Below are 20049 nucleotides of genomic sequence, written 5' to 3'. Positions count from 1 at the left end.
CTGCCTTGCAGTTTGATCTCAGACTGCTGTGCTAGCAATCAGCGAGACTCCGTGGGTGTAGGACCCTCCGAGCCAGGTGCGGGATATAATCTCCTGGTGCGCCATTTTTTAAGCCCGTCGGAAAAGCGCAGTATTGGGGTGGGAGTGACCCGATTTTCCAGGTGCCGTCTCTCACCCCTTTCTTTGACTAGGAAAGGGAACTCCCTGACCCCTTGTGCTTCCCGAGTGAGGCAATGCCTCACCCTGCTTCGGCTCATGCACGGTGCGCTGCACCCACTGTCCTGCATCCACTGTCTGGCACTCCCTAGTGAGATGAACCCGTTACCTCAGATGGAAATGCAGAAATCACCCATCTTCTGCGTCGCTCACGCTGGGAGCTGTAGACTGGAGCTGTTCCTATTCGGCCATCTTGGCTCCAGCCTGACTGCATTTTCCTTCTTGTTGTAAATAATAAAAATATTTATAGGGACAATGCTTAGGGGTACAGCTTTGTCTCTGTCTTGTAGGTTTTAATATGTGGCATTTCAATTTTTAATATTTTCTAAATGTCTTTTGTATTCTTATTTTCCCTTCCTCTTTGGTTCAGTTTCTTGCAGATTCTTCTTTAAGGATGTTTATAGTAACATTTGTGGTATCTGACTTGGCAAGTTGCAAGTATTGTACTACATTTCCCACATTAGTTACCCTTGTAGCTGTACTTTTCCTTTCAGATCCTCTAGTAATTCAAAGAGACCCACTCAGGTTCAGGCAAATATAAGAAGCTTCTTGTGAATGGAATGGCTTATCTAATATTTCTAAAATGACTGGAGCAATGACTTACTGTTTCTAAGGCTTGAGGGACTTGGGCGCAGAGGCAAAAAATCACTCCCGCTAGAGGTATGATGGTGAAAGCTGGCTAGCAGCTGTTTGTACCTCTGGTGGGGAGTAGGACTGGGGACTCCCAGACCTTGCAGGCACTTATTAGGGAATACAACATCATCAGGAAAGGGACTATGTGAACAAGGTTGGATGCTCCAAGGAAAAATGGATTGATGACCCTGGGAGGCTTTCCTCCTGGAATCTGGGCAATGCCCACTCTCGTCATGCTTCTTTAGAACATGTTCTTATTTTCAAATGTTTTCATAGATTTTAAATGGGAATTTGGGAAGGCAGTCTCCAGTCACTTCCACCCTACCTTTTTCCTGGAAGTGTTCTCTAAATCATGTACACATCTATTCTCCTTTACTTGGCTCTAGTGGTTTCTGGGACACCGGTTAGTGGTCAGACTTTGAAAACTGCCCTTTCTTTGACTACAAGGTCTGGTTTGGTCTATATGTCTCTGGAGAATTCTTCTCCCTTCTAGGTGGTGTCTTTGTAGGGACTGTCTGTCTCTGTTGCTGGGTGGAACCTGGAACCTGGTTAAGGCTGGCCAGTGGAGGGGCTGTGCCTTGAGGAGGGCACAGATAGCCCCAGGAATAGGTGCCATCCTGGCAATGTCCTTGGGGAATGTGGTCTCCCCTTTGGAGATTTGGCTGTTGCATGAGGTGCTAACTGAGTGCAGGGGTTGCTACTCGTTGCTTACTGCAGCTTCCCTGGAAGCCTTTGATGAGGAGGGCAGGACCTATGGAGGAGACAGATCAGGAGAGTGCATTGTTTCCACAGCTGCGGTTTGCTCTGCCTAGCCCTTGTGGTGAGATGCAAGGAGCCTTCTTTCTCTATTATGGGAAGGTAATTTGCTCTGAGGCCATTTTCACTATTAAAATACCCATAAGGCAGGGAGGAAAACCCCTCTTTAAGCAGAGAGGCAGGAGTCAAGTGTGGGGAAAGCTGTTGCTCTCCCCTGGAAGTTTTGGATGAACAGTGGATACGTGAATGTGGGGTGGGAGGAGGCTGTTAAAAATGTCTTCATACAAGGAGGCATGTAATTTCCTCCTGGTGGGCATGGTTTTACTCCACATCAGATGTCATTTTGATCTGCCTGTCCCATCAATGGTCAGGCTTCAGCTGGAAAAGAGAGAATGGTGGAAGTAAGAGGTGGGAGACTAGAATGTCAGGCAGAAACAGCAGCGACAGTCTGCTGTCTCATTTGCTTAAGATCTGTATGAAGACTTGAAAAATCCCACAAATCTGCAATTGCAGATTTTTATCAAAGCATCTATAACTTTATAATTTAAAACTGGTATTAAAAGATGTTGCCTTTTTAAACTCTTTTAATGCCTGTTTATATGAGGACATTTTTAACAACCTCCTGCAACCCTACATTCACACACACATATTTTAGGACAGACATTATTTAATCTGATATGCTCATTTGTCACACAAAAGGTGAGCAGCTCAGAAAAAGCCTGAAGCAAGGAGGAGCTCTTGCCTGTAGCAGCCTCATGACCATTTCTGCTCTTGGACTTGGCTGCTTTGAGTTTTTTCAAGTCCTCAAGGCCTTTGTTCTTTAGCTTTCAGGGCTATTATGACTGGATAGTTTACCAGAAAAGGTCCACTTCTTTTACTCTGAACTGATAAGCTGTTTAACTGAATTGCTTGTTTCTGTCCCAAGTGAGCGTGTGTATGTGTTTGTGCTTGCAGACTCAGTATTTTTGCAGCTTGGGATTATAACAAAAGATACGAGATTTTTTTTTTGAGACAGCAGATAAAAAGGGAAATAAATTAGAGAATTATCTTAGTCAATTTTATGTTGTGATAACAAAATACCACAGACTGGATAATTTGTAAAGAATACAGATGTATTTCTTACAGTTCTGGAGACTGGGAAGTCCAAGATCAAAGGGTCTGTATCTGGTGAGGGTCTTCTTGCTGCATCATCCCATGGCAGAAGGCAGAAGGGCAAAAATGTGCACATGAGAGAGCAAGGGTAAAGAGGCCTGAACTCACCTTTTATCAGGAACCCACTCCTGAGATATTGGCATTAATACATCACAAAGGAAGTGTCTTCATGGCTTAATCACCTCCTAAGGGTCCCACCTCTTAATACCATAATAATGCCAATTAAATTTCAACATGACTTTTGGAGGGAACATTCAAACCATAGCAAGGATAGAATATGATGGAAGATTCAGGGAAGAGAAAGGAAGGGCCCAGTTTTTATTAAAATTGTGACAAAGTACACATAACATAAAAGATACCGTCTTAACTATTTTAAGTTTATTGGAATTAAGTGCATTCACAGTGCTGCACAACATTATCATTATTCATCTCCAGAACTCTTTTCATCTTGCAAAACTGAAAGTCTATATCCATGAAATACCAACTCCCCATTTCAATCTTCCCCTCAGCCCCTGCCTCATATAAGTGGATCACACAGTATTTGTCTTTTTATGACTGGATTGTTTCACCTTGCATAATGATTTCAAGGTTTATACATGTTGTAGAATGTGGCAAAATTTTCTTCCTTTTTCAGGCTGATTAATATTCCATCACATGTATATACCACATTTTACTCTGAACTGACAGGTTGTTTGACTGAATTACTTGTTTCAGTCCCAAACATGTGTGTGTGTGTGTGTGTGTGTGTGTGTGTGTGTGTGCGTGCACAGACCCAGTATTTTTGACAGTGTGGGAATATAAAAAAGATGTAAGCTATTTTCTTTTTTTAGGAGATTGTCTACTTATCTGGCAAAGGGCATTTGGGTTGCTTCCACCTCTTTGTTATTATGAACAGTGCTGCTATGATCATGGGTAGGCAAATAAGTTCTTGAGAACCTGCTTTCAATTCTTTTATACATATACCTAGAAGTGGCTTTGCTGGATCATATAGCAGGTCTATTTTTAATTTTTGAGGAGTCTTCATACTGTTTTCCATAGGGATTGCACCATTTTACAATCTCATCAACAGTGCACAAGTGTTCCCATTTCTTCACATCTTCATCAACACTTGTTATTTTAGGTTTTTTAAAAAATAGTAGCCATCCTAATGGGCATGAGGTCATCTCTTTGTGGTTTTGGTTTGCATTTTTCTAATGGTTAGTGATGTTGAGCATCTTTTCATATGCTCGTTGGCCATTTGTATTTCATCTTTGGAGAAATATCTATTCAAATCCTTTGGTCATTTTTTAATTAGGTCATTTAATTTTTTATTGTTGAGTTGTAGGAGTTCTATTTTATTTTATTATTTAATTTAATTTTATTTTACTGTAAGTTCTGGGATACAGGTGCAGAACATGAAGGTTTGTTACATAGCTGTATGTGTGCCATGGTGGTTTGCTTCTCCATCAACCTGTTATCTAGGTTTTAAGCCCCACATGCATTAGGTATTTGTCCTAATCCTCTCCCTCCCCTTGCTCCCCACCCCCAACAGGCCCCAGTGTGTGTTGTTCCCCTCCCTGTGTCCATGTGTTCTTATTGTTCAACTCACACTTAGAGTGAGAACATGCAGTGTTTGGTTTTCTGTTGTCAGAGTTATTTACATATTCTGGATGTTAACCCCTTGTTAGGTATATGACTTTCAAATTTTTCTTCTATGAGTTTTATGTTTTTCAGGTCTTACATTTAGGACTTTAATCCATATTGAGTTAATTTTTTATATGGTGTAAGTAAAGATTCTAACTTCATTTTTTGCAAGTGGAGATTCAGTTTTCCCTTTACCATTTGTTGAAAAGACTGTCCTTTTTCCAAGGACATTGCCAAGACTATTCCATAGTCTTGTCACCCTTGTGGAAAATAATTTGGCCATATATGCAAAAGTTTACTTCTGGGCTCTCTATTCTATTCCGTTGGTCTATATGTGTCTTTATGCTAGTACCACCTTGATATGGTTTGTCTGTGTCCCCACCCAAATCTCATCATGAATTGTAGTACCCATAATCCTAACGTGTGGTAGAGGGCCCTGGTGGGAGATAATTGAGTCACGGCGAGGGTTTCCCCCATGCTATTCTCGTAATAGTGAGTTCTCATGAGATCTGATAGTTTCATTAGGGGCTTTCCCCTTCGCTTCACTCTCATTCTTCTCCTTCCTGCTGCCGTATGAAGAAGGACATGTTTGCTTCCCCTTCCACCATAATGGTAATTTTTCTGAGGCCTCCCCAGCCATGCTGAACTGAACTGTGAGTCAATTAAATCTCTTTCCATGATAAATTACCCTATTTTGATTACTGTAGCTTTGTAATAAATTTCGATATCAGGAAGTGTGAGACCTCACAATTTGTTTTTTTTCAAGATTGTTCTGGCTATTTGGGGTCACTTGAAATTCCATATGAATTTTAGAATGGATTTTTATATTTTTGTAAAAAATGTCATTGGGAGTTTGATAAGGATTGCACTGAATCTGTAGATCACCCTGGGTAGTACGATATCTTAACAATATTAAACCTTCCAATCCATGAACACAGGTATGAAAAAATTCAGCTATTTGCTTGTCATTTACTCTCTTCATTGTTCTGTCACCATTGTCTCCTTCTGTACATCAGAGTGACAGCTCTAGAATGGTGGTGACAAAGTACAACCTCCAGTGCTTGGGTCTCATGTTACCTGAAACTATTCTCAAGAATATGGACATAAAGCTAGGCCTTGAAATGCAGCTTCACAATTTATCTCTGGGCCTGTTTCTCTGAAATTCTAAATACCAGGACTTGCTTAAAAAGCTTGCATTTTTGAACTCTGGTTTGCTGAAGACCAGAATGTTAAATGTCACATTGAAATGGAAAAAAAAATCAAGGCCAGTAAGATAGAAGGGCTCTTTGCTTTTCACATTGTTTATCATGTTTCTTCCTGTTGTAAATGATTTGCTTTTTAGGTGTGTCTTCACTGGGATTTATATTTTTGAAGCTTTGATTAAAATATTGGCAAGAGGTTTCATTCTGGATGAGTTTTCTTTCCTTCGAGATCCATGGAACTGGCTGGACTCCATTGTCATTGGAATAGCGTAAGAATATTAAAGATGTTTTTGAAGAGACTTGGAGTGGGAAAGAAGCCCCTTTGCTTCCATCAGAGCTCTGTGTGGATCCATTTGAGTGGCTGAGTATGGCCTAGTAATGCCTAGAGCTCTGAGTGCTGTGTTGGTTGGCCCTGAACAGCACGTGCAGCCAATTGGCCAGAGGCCCCCACACACAAAGCCATTTCTAGGTCAACACTCAAGTTCGTGTTCCTTCAGCCATTTACTCACCAACACTGGCCTGTTATGGGCCAGGCTCTATGGAAGATACAGGGGTGTGCCAATGAAATTAAAAAAAAAAAAAAAGACATGGTTTTCAATCTTATGAAGCTCACAGTCCAGAGGGGAAAAGTAACAATTAATGGCCCTGAAAATATGGTATGATGAGTACCAGGATAGGGGCTATACATGTATTAAGCTGTCAGAGAATATAGGAAGAACAAAGCAGTCTAAAAAATCTTTGGCTGCTACAAGGTTACAAAGAGCTTTACTCCTGTTTACTTCTAGAAGTTCTGTAGTTTTGGCTTTTATGTTTCAGTCCATGGTCCATTTTGAGTTAATTATCATGTATGGTGTAAGGTGAAGGTTGAAGCTCTTCCTGAAGGAAAGACACTGATTTGGAATCTGAATGATGAAATGGAGTCAGCAAAAGAAAAAATAAGAAATGCAGTGACACATTGCCAGCACAACAATAGTAAACCTGGCATCATTCAATATGTACCAGGCATTATGTTAAGCACTTTGCATATTTTTTCCTATTTAATATTCACAAAAGCCCTTGGAGGTAGGTGCTAGTAATTTCAGAGTTTTACATTTGAAGTTCAAAGATTGTGTGCTCTTCGTTATTGAAAGGTGGTGAAGCACAGTGGTTTAGAGTATGGCTCTGGAGCTACACTGCCTGGCTACACATTCAGGCTTGACCATGTAGTGGCAGGAGACTTTAGTGAAGTGCCTTGGGGCATGGAACTTGTCAGCCACTCAGTAAATATTTGAGAGGACTTCTATTATTCATGGATGTAGCCACAACTACATGAACTATTTCAAGGAGTCTTCATCTGTGTCCACGTATGAAGGTGAACTGAGAACAGCGTCCTCTGCAGTTCATAGCAAGAACAGTGGTATTGCCAGATCCTAAGATAAAGGTGGGGCTGGAAAGGTGAGGCTGTCGATTTCACCTTGGAGGTCACAGGCCTCAGGCTGAGCTTACTTGTGGCTTTTGTGGAGATGTGCAGTGCAGCTGCAGGACTGAGCAAGCCCATGCCTTCCCTGTGCTTTGTCTTGTAGGATTGTGTCATATATTCCAGGAATCACCATCAAACTATTGCCCCTGCGTACCTTCCGTGTGTTCAGAGCTTTGAAAGCAATTTCAGTAGTTTCACGTAAGTCACTCTCACTTTCCACACTGGCTCCTATCTAGAAAGAATGTTAATTTATATTTAAATTTTTTCAAAATGTCATCATGTAAACCAAAAACAAACAAAGCCTGCTTTACAAATTTATTTGATGGTCCAACTGATAATTATTGAGCACCTAATATGTCCAGGCACTGTGCTAACTGCTTGAGATCTAGTAGTAAGCAAATGGATACGGACTCATGGAGTTTTACCTTCTATGGTGGGGGTGGGGAGACAGACACGAAGCAACAACTATAATAAATAAGTACATTATGTAGCATGTGAGCAAGTGCTATGTGCCAGGGAAAATATAAAGAAAAAGTAGACACCATGAGGGCTATGGGAAGTCACAGGGTACAGGGGAAGGAGGTTGCAGTTTTAAACAGAGTGATCACGATAGTTGTCATTGAGGTGAGAGGTGGCAGAGATTTGAAGGTGGCAAGGGAGTGACACAAGCAGATATATGGGAAAGAGTATTCTGAGCATGGGAAACAGCCAGCACAGAGATTGAGGAGTAGCAAGGATGAGGATGGGACTGGAAAGGAGAGGGTGAGAGGCCAGGTAGAGGTGGGATCATAGAAGTGAAGGGGGGGCCGGGTACAGTTGCTCACGCCAGTAATTCTAGCACTTTGGGAGGCCAAGGTGGGGAGATAACTTGAGGCCAGGAGTTTCAGAACAGCCTGGCCAATATGGAAAAGCCTCGTCTCTACAAAAATACAAGAGTTAAGGCCAGGTGCAGTGGCTCACTCCTGTAATCCCAACACTTTGGAAGGCTGAGGCAGGTGGATCACCTGAGGTCAGAAGTTTGGTATCAGCCTGATCAACATGGAGAAACCCCATCTCTACTAAAAATACAAAAGTAATCAGGTGTGGTGGTGCATGCCTGTAATCCCAGCTACTCAGGAGGCTGAGGTGGGAGAATCACTTGAACCTGGGAGAGGGAGGTTGCGGTGAGCCTGGATCGCCCCATTGCACTCCAGCCTGGGCAACAAAAGCAAAACTGTCTCAGAAAAAAAAAAAATTAGTTAGATGTGGTGGTGAGTACCTTTAATCTCAGCTACTCGAGAAGCTGAGGCAGGAGAATTGCTTGAACCTGGGAGGCAGAGGCTGCAGGCTGCAGTGAGCCAAGATTGTGCCATTGCACTCCAGCCTAAGGTCTAAAAAAAAAAAAGGACTGAAGGGGAGTCTTGTAGGCACAGGGAGGATATGCGCTTCACTCTGAAGAAATGGGAGCTGTTGTGTGGAGAATGGAATGTAGGGGAGATGGGAGAAGCAGGAAGACCTCCTGCTACAGGGAGCACAGTGGACTAAAGATCCCGGCTTCCACCTCTCTGGATTCCCCACTGCATTCATCCACATGCCAAGATCATGCCTGCCCTGCACAGTGTGTGTGGGTTCTAGTGCTGGCCCATTCCTGAAGCATATGGGATTCTTCTAATAGGAAACTTTGGCTCAGGGACTCTCCAGTGACCTGGCTGAGACTCCGACAGCTGCACTGCAGTCTGAGGTTCTTCCTATCCAATCCTCCTCCCTTGTCTGTCTCTCAGACATCAAACTTGAGCTGCAGTCTGAAGTTTCTCCCTGCCCACTCCTGCTCCCCCGACTCATCTTTCACAGGCGTCCTCCCAACCCCCACAAATCTCTGGCACATCTGATCTCAGAATGTCTGCTCCTCAAAACCCAAACTGACACAAGAGACCATAATCCAAGCAAGGGATGGCAGTGCTCTCTGATCAGGTAGTGGTAGTGGAGTTGGTAGACACTGGTTTGATTCTGTGTCAATTCAAAGGTAGAAACAATAGCATTTCCTGACTGATCAATTGTATACATGGTGTGAGCAAAAGAGAGGAGTCAAAAATGACTTTTATACCTGATGTCACTGATTGAGACAGAGAAGGCTGTGAGAGGAGCAGGCCTTGGGGTCAGATTACAAGCTAGCTTTGAACATGTTATGTTTGAGATGGCTGTGAGACCACCAAGGGAAAGGATTCAGCAGGAAATTAGGTATATATGAGTCCAGGAGTCCAGGGAGAAGTCAGAGCTAGAGATACCATTTCAGGAATCAAGGGTCTATAGATATTTAAAGCCGTGAGATCTAAAGAGATCACCAAGGGAATAAGCACTGATGGAGAATAGAAGAGGACCAAGGTCTGAGCCCCAGGGTACTGAAACATGAAAGGGAGAAGAGGAGAAACCAGGGAAGGAGATGAGCAGCAGCCACCTGTGAAGTAGGAGGGGAACCAAAGGTGGTCTCCTGGAAGCCAGGTGAGGAAGTCATGTTAGCCCTTCGGATCAGGATGAAGCCAAGGTTGGGTGTGAATATGAATTTCTGTTTATTAAAAATGAGGTTATTATAGCACACCCTTTTCCTCTCCTTCCCCTTTCCTCTCTTTTCTTTACTAAAACAAACAAACAAAACAGTTTATTATCTTCCCTCTCTGGACTCCTTTCCCCCCACCTTCTCCCCTTCCCTTCTTTTCTCTTCTATCAGTGGCTTTGGCAAACTGTAAAAAGACATGGGAACTATTTAGTTGTGCTGATGATATAGACATAAACTATACCGCATGGCCCCAATACCTAAACTCCAGTCCTTTCAAACAGAAGCAGTAGGTTATTTTTTGAAACTTCAGAAAAGCAACTGAATAGTGATAAAGAAACTGGTAGTCAGAGGACACTTTATATACAATTTATCTCTTCTTCTCCTCCTCCTCCTCCTCCTCCTTCTCCTTCTTCTTTTCAAGTAGGACTTTGTTTTCCCAGGTAGATTTAGGAGCTTTCTGCATGAGCTGAGCCCCTTTTATTTTCACATAAGTAAATACACATTCAGGCAGTCATTTAGCAGCTTTCATGTCCCCGTCTTCATCTCCACACAGGTGAATATAGTCTCTATTTTGGCCCATTAAATGCACTGAGATGCCTGGATGCTTTTTGGAAGTAAGGGTGTGAGGCACAATCTTTTATGAGACTATTAAAAAATGATCCAGGAATCACAATCATCACTCATCCACATTTCTTGCTTTGGAGAAGCCTCTTGTTATAGATTAAAATCTGCCTTGGGTGACACTGTAGTAACCTCTGGTTTGCCTTCAATTGGTGATATAGTAAGTGTCCCAGCTTGGCCTCCAGGTTCCTGCTATCTGGTGTTATACTTTGTGGGAAGCCCATCCACTGAGGGCTTGGCCTCCCACTGTATGCTGCCATGTGCTCTCACCTCTATGCTAATCAATTGAAATTTTGTCACTTAGTGTCATTCCATGCCTTTCAATTACATCTGGGAGTTTATCTCTCCAGCTATCTTGAGACTCAGTGGATTGCTGAAGTTGACTTGTTCTTTTTCCAGCTCTGTCCAGTGACATCATATTGGTAGCTTGAAATCTACCATGGTGGTGAGTGGGGATCAGGATCTATACCACAGAATTCAGAAAACAAGGAAACCTGTAAATGCTATAGATCAGGGCTCTCCTGCCTCCTGCTTGAAGAGCCAGTTTTAAATATTTACTAGCATGCCACAAGATTATTTATTTTGTAACTTTGGCAGCTTAACAGTGTGCCATGGACATAGTAGGTGCTTAATAAATACTTCTTGAATGAATGAATGAATGAAAAGAAAACACCCTATTCTAACTGGTAATCTGAGTTTTCCCTCCCAGGATATCCTCATAATTTGGGTCTAGACAAATCTCCTTCATCCCCTATACCCCACAATTTAGCTGTGTCTCATGGTACTCAAGTACTTTGACAGTAGACAGTATCTACTAAATGTTAAATACAGGTCTATCTCATTCTCTAGTGTGGCCCCAGCTTAGGTGGTGCCTTTGCAACTGTCCTCAACCTATGCCTTGAGTCCGTGTGGCATGTTTCTATTCAAAGCCTCTTTGCTTGCTCCTCATAGCAGCACTGAGGCAGGCATAGGGCAGGAATAGAGAGATTGAGTCTCAAACTTGTTGACTGCTTTGATGACACTCAGCTTCCAAGGCACAGAGTTGGAGCACAAACTCAAGGCATCAGAATCATAGGCTAGGCTGGAGTCCAGTTCCAGCCTGCAATTTGACAGTTTCCGAGACTTCAGTTGCTCCTTACTTGGCCTTTGTGAGTGTCTGGCTGAGGGGGATGGGCTTCTCCCCAAGCCTGTCCTCTTTCTCAGGTCTGAAGGTCATCGTGGGGGCCTTGCTACGCTCTGTGAAGAAGCTGGTCAACGTGATTATCCTCACCTTCTTTTGCCTCAGCATCTTTGCCCTGGTAGGTCAGCAGCTCTTCATGGGAAGTCTGAACCTGAAATGCATCTCGAGGGACTGTAAAAATATCAGTAACCCGGAAGCTTATGGTAAATACCCAACCTTTCTTTCACTCCTTGGTTTTTGCATGGTTAACTTTTCCTTATCCTCACTTGTCCTGCCTTCACACTTCCCTTACAGAGTCTCTTAGCAGCAAGGGAGGACTTCATCCATCCAGGGTGCTCCTGTGGGCAGATGCATTTCCTAGAGAATTGCCTCATTCTTTGGCTTCCTATGGAGAAGGAAAGTCTTGAAACCACATCCACAAGAGCAATTCTATGCTGTCCCATCCCTTTGCCATTTAGATCTCTGCCCACTTCTTTGTAATGATTTGCAGAAGTTTTTAGAATGCTTGGATTTGGCTAACAATAATCAGCAGCTTCCCAGCCCCACTCCTCAAGTATTTCTCCAATGACACGTCTTTTTTTTTTTTTTTTTTTTGAGATGGAGTCTAGCTCTGTCACCAGGCCGGAGTGCAGTGACATCACCCCACTGCAACCTCTGCCTCCCAGGTTCAAGTGATTCTCCTGCCTCAGCCTCTCAAGTAGCTGGGATTACAGGCATGTGCCGCCACACCCAGCTAATTTTTGTATTTTTAGTAGAGACGAGGTTTCACCATGTTGGCCAGGATGATCTCCATCTCCTGACCTCGTGATCTGCCCACCTCAGCCTCCCAAAGTGCTGGGATTACAGGCGTGAGCCACCATGCCCGGCCAACAACACTTCTTTCAGTGCCCACCCTCTCCATGCTGAGGTTGACCCTACACCTACTCCATGTGTCATGAATCTCATGTGACTACACTCTCTTGATGTCTCTCATGGGATGGGTCTGTGTCCAGCTTCCCCCAGGGAGGATCTTCGGTTCAGTATTATTTAAGAGAGGCAAAGTGGTGGTGGTGATGTCACTGCTTCCTCCTCCAACTTCTCCTTCCTTCTTCTTTTCCCTCCTTCCTTCTTACTCCTTCCAGAGGTCTTGGGCTCCAGTTTCTCTCTGGACACACCTCCTTTAATCATTTTAGAAGATGTAGAAACATCCATTTTCAAGCATAATCTGCATACTTACTATTCTCTTTCCTTTCAATGTTTTTTTTAAAATCTGAATTTATGACTTTTTCCTCTCTCAGACCATTGCTTTGAAAAGAAAGAAAATTCACCTGAATTCAAAATGTGTGGCATCTGGATGGGTAACAGGTAAGAGGTTTATAATCATTTTCCTCCCAAGAAGAGTACCTCTAGACCTTTTAGAATGGTGTGGCAAACAGTCTTTAATGACTGGTGGACACAGTGATGATAGTTCTCACATAATTATTTCATGTGTCTAAACATGTTTAGACTTGTGTTATTAAATTAAAAAATCATTTCCTGGTGTTTAAGGCAGCTTTCCTCCCTAGTTATGTTAAATTGGAAGCTTATAAGAAACCTACTGAAACAGTGATATTTCAACTTTATGGAGTAGGTATTCAAGACTTTCAAAACTGAGAAGGGATGTTATGACTGAGAGCCCTGTGAGGCCCTTGTTTCCTGTTCAGTGGCATTGCCCTGCTGCAAGAGTATCTGAGCATGCTTCTTCTCTTTGTTGACCTGTTGACAACTATTGCCTCAAATTACAAACACAGTTGAACATACATCCACTTACACTTGCCCCAACAGCTGCTGGCCCTCTGCTCCAATGGGGAAACTCTTTTTTCCTTCAGGTTAGCGGTGCTTTCTATTGTGAAAGATTCAATTCAGTGAAGATTTATTGAGTGTATTTCAAATTAAGATAATATGCAAGGTACTCTGATGAAATAGATGACATTCATTCCTAAATTACAAATAGATAACAAGAATCTACAGAGTGCCAAGCCCTGAGTTTGCCTCAAGGAATGCAATTGTGAACAAGGCAGCTCCACGTTTTTGGATTTGATGTCTTCTAGGGAAGACAGATGCACAGAAAATGCAGTTATGTGTTGCATAATGATATTTAGATTGATAATGGATGATATATATGATACTGGCCCCATAAAATTATAATACTATATTTTTACAGTGCCTTTTCTGTGTATACACAAATTATTACCATTGTGCTACAGTTGCCTACAGTATTCAGTATAGTAACATGCTGTACAAGTTTGTAGCCTAGGAACAATAGGCTATGCCACATAGTCTAGGTGTGTAGTAGGCTATACCATCTAGGCTTGTGTGTACACTCTATGATGTTTATACAACAAAATTGCCTAACTACACATTTCTTAGAATGTATTCCTGCTGTTGAGCAATGCATGATTACTAGAAAGTGTGATGAGTGTTATAAGGGTGATGTGCAGGTGCTGAGAGGTATGATGGGGTTGTGACCTTGTCTGGAGAATTAGGGAAGGCTTCTCTCATTCCATTTGCAAGACACGATAGGCTTTAATCTAATATGAAGCTTACTGAGCTTTCTAGAATGATTCCCAACAGCACACACTGCATTGATATTGTTGAGGATCATTCTAGAAAGAAAAACTGTCTTCCATGAAACCGGTCCCTGTTGCCAGAAAGCTCCCCAACATTTTGGCACCAGGGACTGATTTCATGGAAGATAATTTTTTCGTGGGCAGGAAGTGGGGGTGGTTTTAGAATGAAACTGTTCTACCTCAGATCATCAGGCATTAGTTAGATTCTCATAAGGAGCGTGCAACCTAGATCCCTTGCATGCGCAGTTCACAATAGGGTTCACACTCTTATGAAAATCTAATGCTTACCACTGATGTGACAGGAGGTGGAGATCAGGTGTAATGCTCACTCGCCTGCTGCTCACTTGCTGTACAGCCTAGTTCCTAGCAGGCCATGAACCAGTACTGCTCTGGGGCCCGGGTTTGGGGATCCCTGTCTTAAAGGGAGCCCGACAGCTGCTGCATATAGCACTTCTTTTACCCCTCACACAGGCAGACAGGTGTGGTTACCATAGGCAGAATCCAACGTGGGGTGTATAACCTAGACAGGCAGAAGCAGCAGCCTTGTTTCCAACTAGTCCTTTTTTTTTTTCCCAAGTCTTTTGCCTCCAAAATCTCTTATTACAATACTATACTGCTATAAAAAGTCCAAAAAACTATTTTAGCTGTTGAAAACTCAAATAACATCAGACACAAAATGAATCAAGTGTGATGTGTATATGACAATAGAGAGTGGTGGGGAAAGTAGAGAGGCAGAGGACACATACCATGCTTAACAGCAGTCAAACTTGGGTATTTTTTTTATTTCAGTAGGTTTTGGGGGAACAGGTGGTACTTGGTTACATGAATAAGTTCTTTAGTGGTAATTTCTGAGATTTTGGTGCACAAACTGGTCTTCTTTTTAGCTTTTATTTTAAGTTCAGGGGTACATATGCAGGTTTGTTATATAGGTAAATTTGTGTACAGATTATTTCATCACCCAGGTATTAAATCTAGTACCCATTAGTTATTTTTCCTGATTCTCTTCCTTCTCTCAACCTCCACCATCCAATAGGTCCCAGTATCTATTGTTCTCCACTGTGTGTCCATGTGTTCTCATCATTTATCTCTCATTTACAACTAAGAACATGTAGGATTTGGTTTTTCTGTTCTTGCATTAGTTTGTTAAGGTTAATAGCCTCCAGCTCCATCCATGTTCTTGCAAAGTAATAGAACTCATTCTTTTTATGGCTGCATAGTATTCCATGGCACATATGCACCACATTAGCTTTATCCAGTCTGTCATTGTTGGGCATTCAGGTTGCCTCCATGTCTTTGCTCTTGTGAATAGTGTGACAATGAACTTTCACTTGCATGTGTCTTTATGATACAATGATTTATATTCCTTTGGGTATATACCCAGTAATGGGCTTGCCAGGTCAAATGGTAGTTCTGTTTTTAGGTCTTTGAGGAATTGCCACAGTTTTCCACAATGGTTGAACTAATTTACACTCCCACCAACGGTGGATAAATGTTCCTTTTTCTCCGCATCCATGCCAGCATCTGTTATTTTTTGACTTTTTAGTAATAGCCATTCTGACTGGTGTGAGATGGTATCTCATTGTGGTTTTGATTTGTATTTCTCTAATGATCAATGATGTACAACTGGTCTTTATAGGGCTCTTGTCTCTAAGTTTATGTGCCAGCACATCTCTCTCAGTCTAGGTACAATATGAATGCTCCAGAGTTTTGTGGTAAACCAACTCCTAGTACACAGCATTCCACAGTGATCACAACATGCTTGCTTCTGAGGAGATGGCACTCTGAGAAGGCAGGTCTGTGATCATCTTTCCAGGCAGGCTTTGGTCTTTTCAGGGCCCAGGCTAGTCTTCACCCTCCAGTCACTGCTTCCTCCCCTGCTGACTAATTCACCGTGACTACAACTCAGATCTGAAGTCTAAGTAGGAGGTTCCAGTAGATAAAGAGTGAACAATTCCAGACAGTAGGCACAGCAAGGGTGAGCATAAGGCCTTGGAGCACAAGAGCATATAGGGATTGACAAGAAGCCCAGCAACTTTTTGGGCAGACAGGCAAGAGAGCAGGAAGGAACAGAGACAAGAGCCAACCATGAAGGACGTGATAGCTCATCAGTGCCAACGATTTTGGTCTTGATCACAAAGGAAGCAGGAGACATGGAAAGGTTTTAGGGCAGGCAGATGACTGGGCAGATTAGACATATTTTAAAAGCCACTATGGTTTCTGTATAGAGAATGGATGCATAGAGTAGATGAGGAAGCCAATTACAAGACTGTGGTAGAAAGAATAAGGATCATGAAGATGTACAGTGGTGATGAAGAAAGCTGGATGGATGCATTCCAGAGACGTTTAGGAGACAGAAAGACTAGGACATATCAATATTAGCCTTGAATGTCAATGGGCTAAATGCCCCACTTAAAAGGCACACAATGGCAAGCTGGATAAAAAAGCAAGACCCAATGGTATGCTGTCTTCAAAAGACTCATCTTACATGTAATGACACACATAGGCTCAAAATAAAAGAAATGGAGGAAAATATACCAAGCAAATGGAAATCAGAAAAAAAGCAGAAGTTGCAATCTTAATTTCAGACAAAACAGACTTTAAACCAACAAAGATAAAAAATAGATAAAGAAGGGCATTACATAATGGTAAAATGTTCAATTCAACAAGAAGACCTAACTAATCTAAAGGTATATGCGCCCAAGACAGGAGCACCCAGATTCAAAAGGCAAGTTCTTAGAGACCTACAAAGAGACTTAGACTCCCACACAATAATAGTGGGAGACTTCAACACAGCACTGACAGTATTAGACAGATCACTGGGGCAGAAAATTAACCAAGATATTCAGGACCTGAAGTCAACATTGGACCAAATGGACCTGTTAGACCTCTACAGAACTCTCCACCCCAAAACAACAGAATATACATTCTTCTCATCACCACATGGCCCATACTCTAAAACTGACCACATAATGGAACATAAAACAAGCTTCAGCAAATGCAAAAGAACCAAAATTTTACCAAACACACTCTCGGACCACAGCACAATAAAAATAGAAGAAAAGACTAAAAAAATCACTTAAAACCATGCAATTACATGGAAATTAAACAACATGCCTCTGAATGACTTTTGGGTAAATAATGAAATTAAAGCAGAAATCAAGAAGTTTTTTGGAACTAATGAGAACAAAGATACAACATACCAGAATCTCTGGGACACAGCTAAGGCAGTGTTAAGAGAAAATTCATAGCACTAAACGCCCACATCAAAAACTTAGAAATAACTTAAACAATGTCACATCACAATGGAAAGAGTTAGAGAAGCAAGAGCAAAGCTAGCAGAAGACAAAAAATAAGGAAATCCAAATAAACACAATTAGAAATAACAAAGGGGATGTTACCACTGACCCCACAGAAATAAAAATAACCATTAAAAACTGCTAAAAACACCTCTAAGCACACAAACTAAAAATACCTGGACACAAACACCCTGCCAAGACTGAACTGGGAAGAAACTGATTCCCTGAATAGACCAATAACAAGCTCCAAAATTGAATCTATAATAAATAGCCTACCAACCAAAAAAATCCTGAGACCAGATGGATCCATAGCTGAATTCTACTAGATGTACAAAGAGCAGGTACCATTCCTACAGAAACTATTCCAAAAAATTGAGGAGCAGAGACTCCTCCCCAAATCATTCAATGAGACCACCATCGTCCTGATACCAAAACCTGGCAGAGGCACAAAAAAAGAAAACTTTAGGTCAATATCCTTGATGAACATTGATGCAAAAATCCTCAACAAAATACTTGCAAACCTAATCCAGCAGCACATTAAAAAGCTAATCCACCACAATCAAGTAGGCTTCATCCTTGGGATGCATGGTTGGTTCAACATATGCAAATCAATAAATGTGATTCATCAGAACTAAAGTAAAAAAACACATGAATATTTCAATAGTTGCAGAAAAGGCTTTTGATAAACTCAACATCCATTCATGTTCAAAACTCTCAATACACTAGATATTGAAGGAACATACCTCAAAATAATAAGAGCCATCTATGACAAACCTACAGCCAACATCATACTGAATGGGGAAAAGCTGGAAGCATTCTCCTTGAAAAGTAGCACAAGACAGGATACCCTCTCTCACCACTCCTATTCAACATAGTATTGGGAGTCCTGGACAGAGCAATCAGGAAGAAAAAGAAATAAAGGGCATCCAAATAGGAAGAGAAGAAGTCAAACTATTCCTGTTTGCAGATAACATGAATCTATATCTAGAAAACCCCATAATCTCAGCTCAAAAGCTCCTTCAGCTGATAAACAACTTCAGCAAAGTTTCAAGACACAAAATCAATGTACGAAAACCACTAGCATTCCTGTATACCAACAGCCAAGCCGAGAGCCAAATCAGGAATGCAATCCTATTTACTATTGTGACAAAATAATAAAATACATAGGAATACAGCCAACAGGGAGGTGAAAGATCTCTACAATGAGAATTGCAAAATGCTGCTCAAAGAAATTAAAAATGACACAAACAAATGGAAGAACATCTCATGCTCATGGATAGGAAGAATCAATATCATTAAAATGGATATACTGCCTAGAGCAATTTACAGATTCAGTGCTATTCCTATGAAATTACCAATGACATTCTTGACAGAATTTAAAAAATGCTGTTTTAAAATTTATATGGAATCAAGAAAGAGCCCAAATACCCAAGGCAATCCTAAGTAAAAAGTATAAAGCTGGAGGCATCACGTTTCCCAACTTCAAAATATACAACAGGGCTACAGTAACCAAAACAGCATGGTACTGATACAAAAACAGTCATATAGATCAATGTACAGAATAGAGAGCCCAGAAATAAGGCTGCACACCTACAACCATCTGATCTTGAACAAAGCTGACAAAACAAGCAATGAGGAAAACACCCTATTCAATAAATGGTGCTGGAATAACTGGCTAGCTATATGCAGAAGATTGAAACTGGACTCCTTTCTTACACCATATACAAAAATCAACTCAAGATGGATTAAAGACTTAAATGTAAATCCCCAAACTATAAAAACTCTGGAAGACAACCTATGCAATACCATTCTGGACATAGAAATGGGCAAATATTTCATGATGAAGATGCCAAAAGCAATCAGAATGAAACCAAAATTTGACAAATGGGATCTAACTAAACTTAAGAGCTTCTGCACAGAAAACAAAAACAAACAAAAACCAAAAAACTATTAACAGAGTAAACAGACAACCTACAGAATGGGAGAAAATATTTGCAAACTATGCATCTGTTAAAGGTCTGATATTCAGCATCTATAAGGAAATTAAATTTACAATAAGAAAACAACTCCACTGAAAAGTGGGCAAAGGACATGAATAGACTTTTTTTTTAAAGAAGACTTACATGCAGCCAACGAGCATATGATAAAAAGCTCAACATCACTGACCATTAGACAAATGCAAATCAGAACCACAATAAGGTACTATTTCACACCAGTCAGAATGGCTATCATTAGAGTCAAAAAATAACAGACGCTGGCAATGTTGTGGAGAAAAGGGAACACATACACTGTTAGTAGAAGTGTAAATTAGTTCAACCATTATGGAAAGCAGTGTGGCAATTCCTCAAAGACCTAAAACAGAACTACTGTTGCTGGATTCATCCCAGCAATCGCATTACTGGGTAGGTACCCAGAGGAATATAAATCATTCTACTGTAAAGATACACACACATGCATGTTCATTGCAGCACTGTTCACTATAGCAAAGACATGGAAGCAACCTGAATGCCTATCAGTGACAAACTGGATAAAGAAAATGTGGTACACATACATGATGGAATACTATGCAGCCATAAAAAAGCAAGAGATTATGTCTTTTGCGGGAGCATGGATGGAGTTAGAGGCCATTAGCCTTAGCAAACTAAAGCAGGAAACAGAAAACCAAATACTGCATGTTCTCACTTGTAAGTGGGAGTTAAATGATGAGAACTCACGGACATAGAAAAGAACAACAGCTACTGGGACCTACTTGAGGATGAAGGGTAGGAGCAGCAAGAGGAGCAGAAAAAA

At 41.4% G+C, this 20049-nt stretch overlaps 1 protein-coding gene across 6 annotated transcripts in view; it reads left to right on the top strand.

Moving 5' to 3' along the window:
* SCN11A (sodium voltage-gated channel alpha subunit 11) overlaps positions 1 to 20049 on the top strand; it is a 206181-nt gene that overhangs the window by 119291 nt on the left and 66841 nt on the right. For 5 of the 6 annotated variants that reach the window (NM_001349253.2, XM_047447378.1, XM_017005650.2 and 2 more), the window contains 4 exons: positions 5723 to 5851; positions 7145 to 7239; positions 11399 to 11578; positions 12653 to 12719. In NM_001349253.2, coding sequence (NP_001336182.1) covers positions 5723 to 5851; positions 7145 to 7239; positions 11399 to 11578; positions 12653 to 12719 — 471 coding nt within the window. Of the gene's footprint in view, positions 1 to 5722; positions 5852 to 7144; positions 7240 to 11398; positions 11579 to 12652; positions 12720 to 20049 lie in introns of those variants that run through there. The other variant, XM_011533321.3, reaches the window with a different exon arrangement.

This window comes from Homo sapiens, chromosome 3 (genome assembly GCF_000001405.40).
Source record: "Homo sapiens chromosome 3, GRCh38.p14 Primary Assembly".
In the NCBI taxonomy this organism is placed as follows: Eukaryota; Metazoa; Chordata; class Mammalia; order Primates; family Hominidae; genus Homo; species Homo sapiens.
Note: the sequence above shows the minus strand (reverse complement) of the source record. Positions and strands in the feature narration are given on the sequence as shown.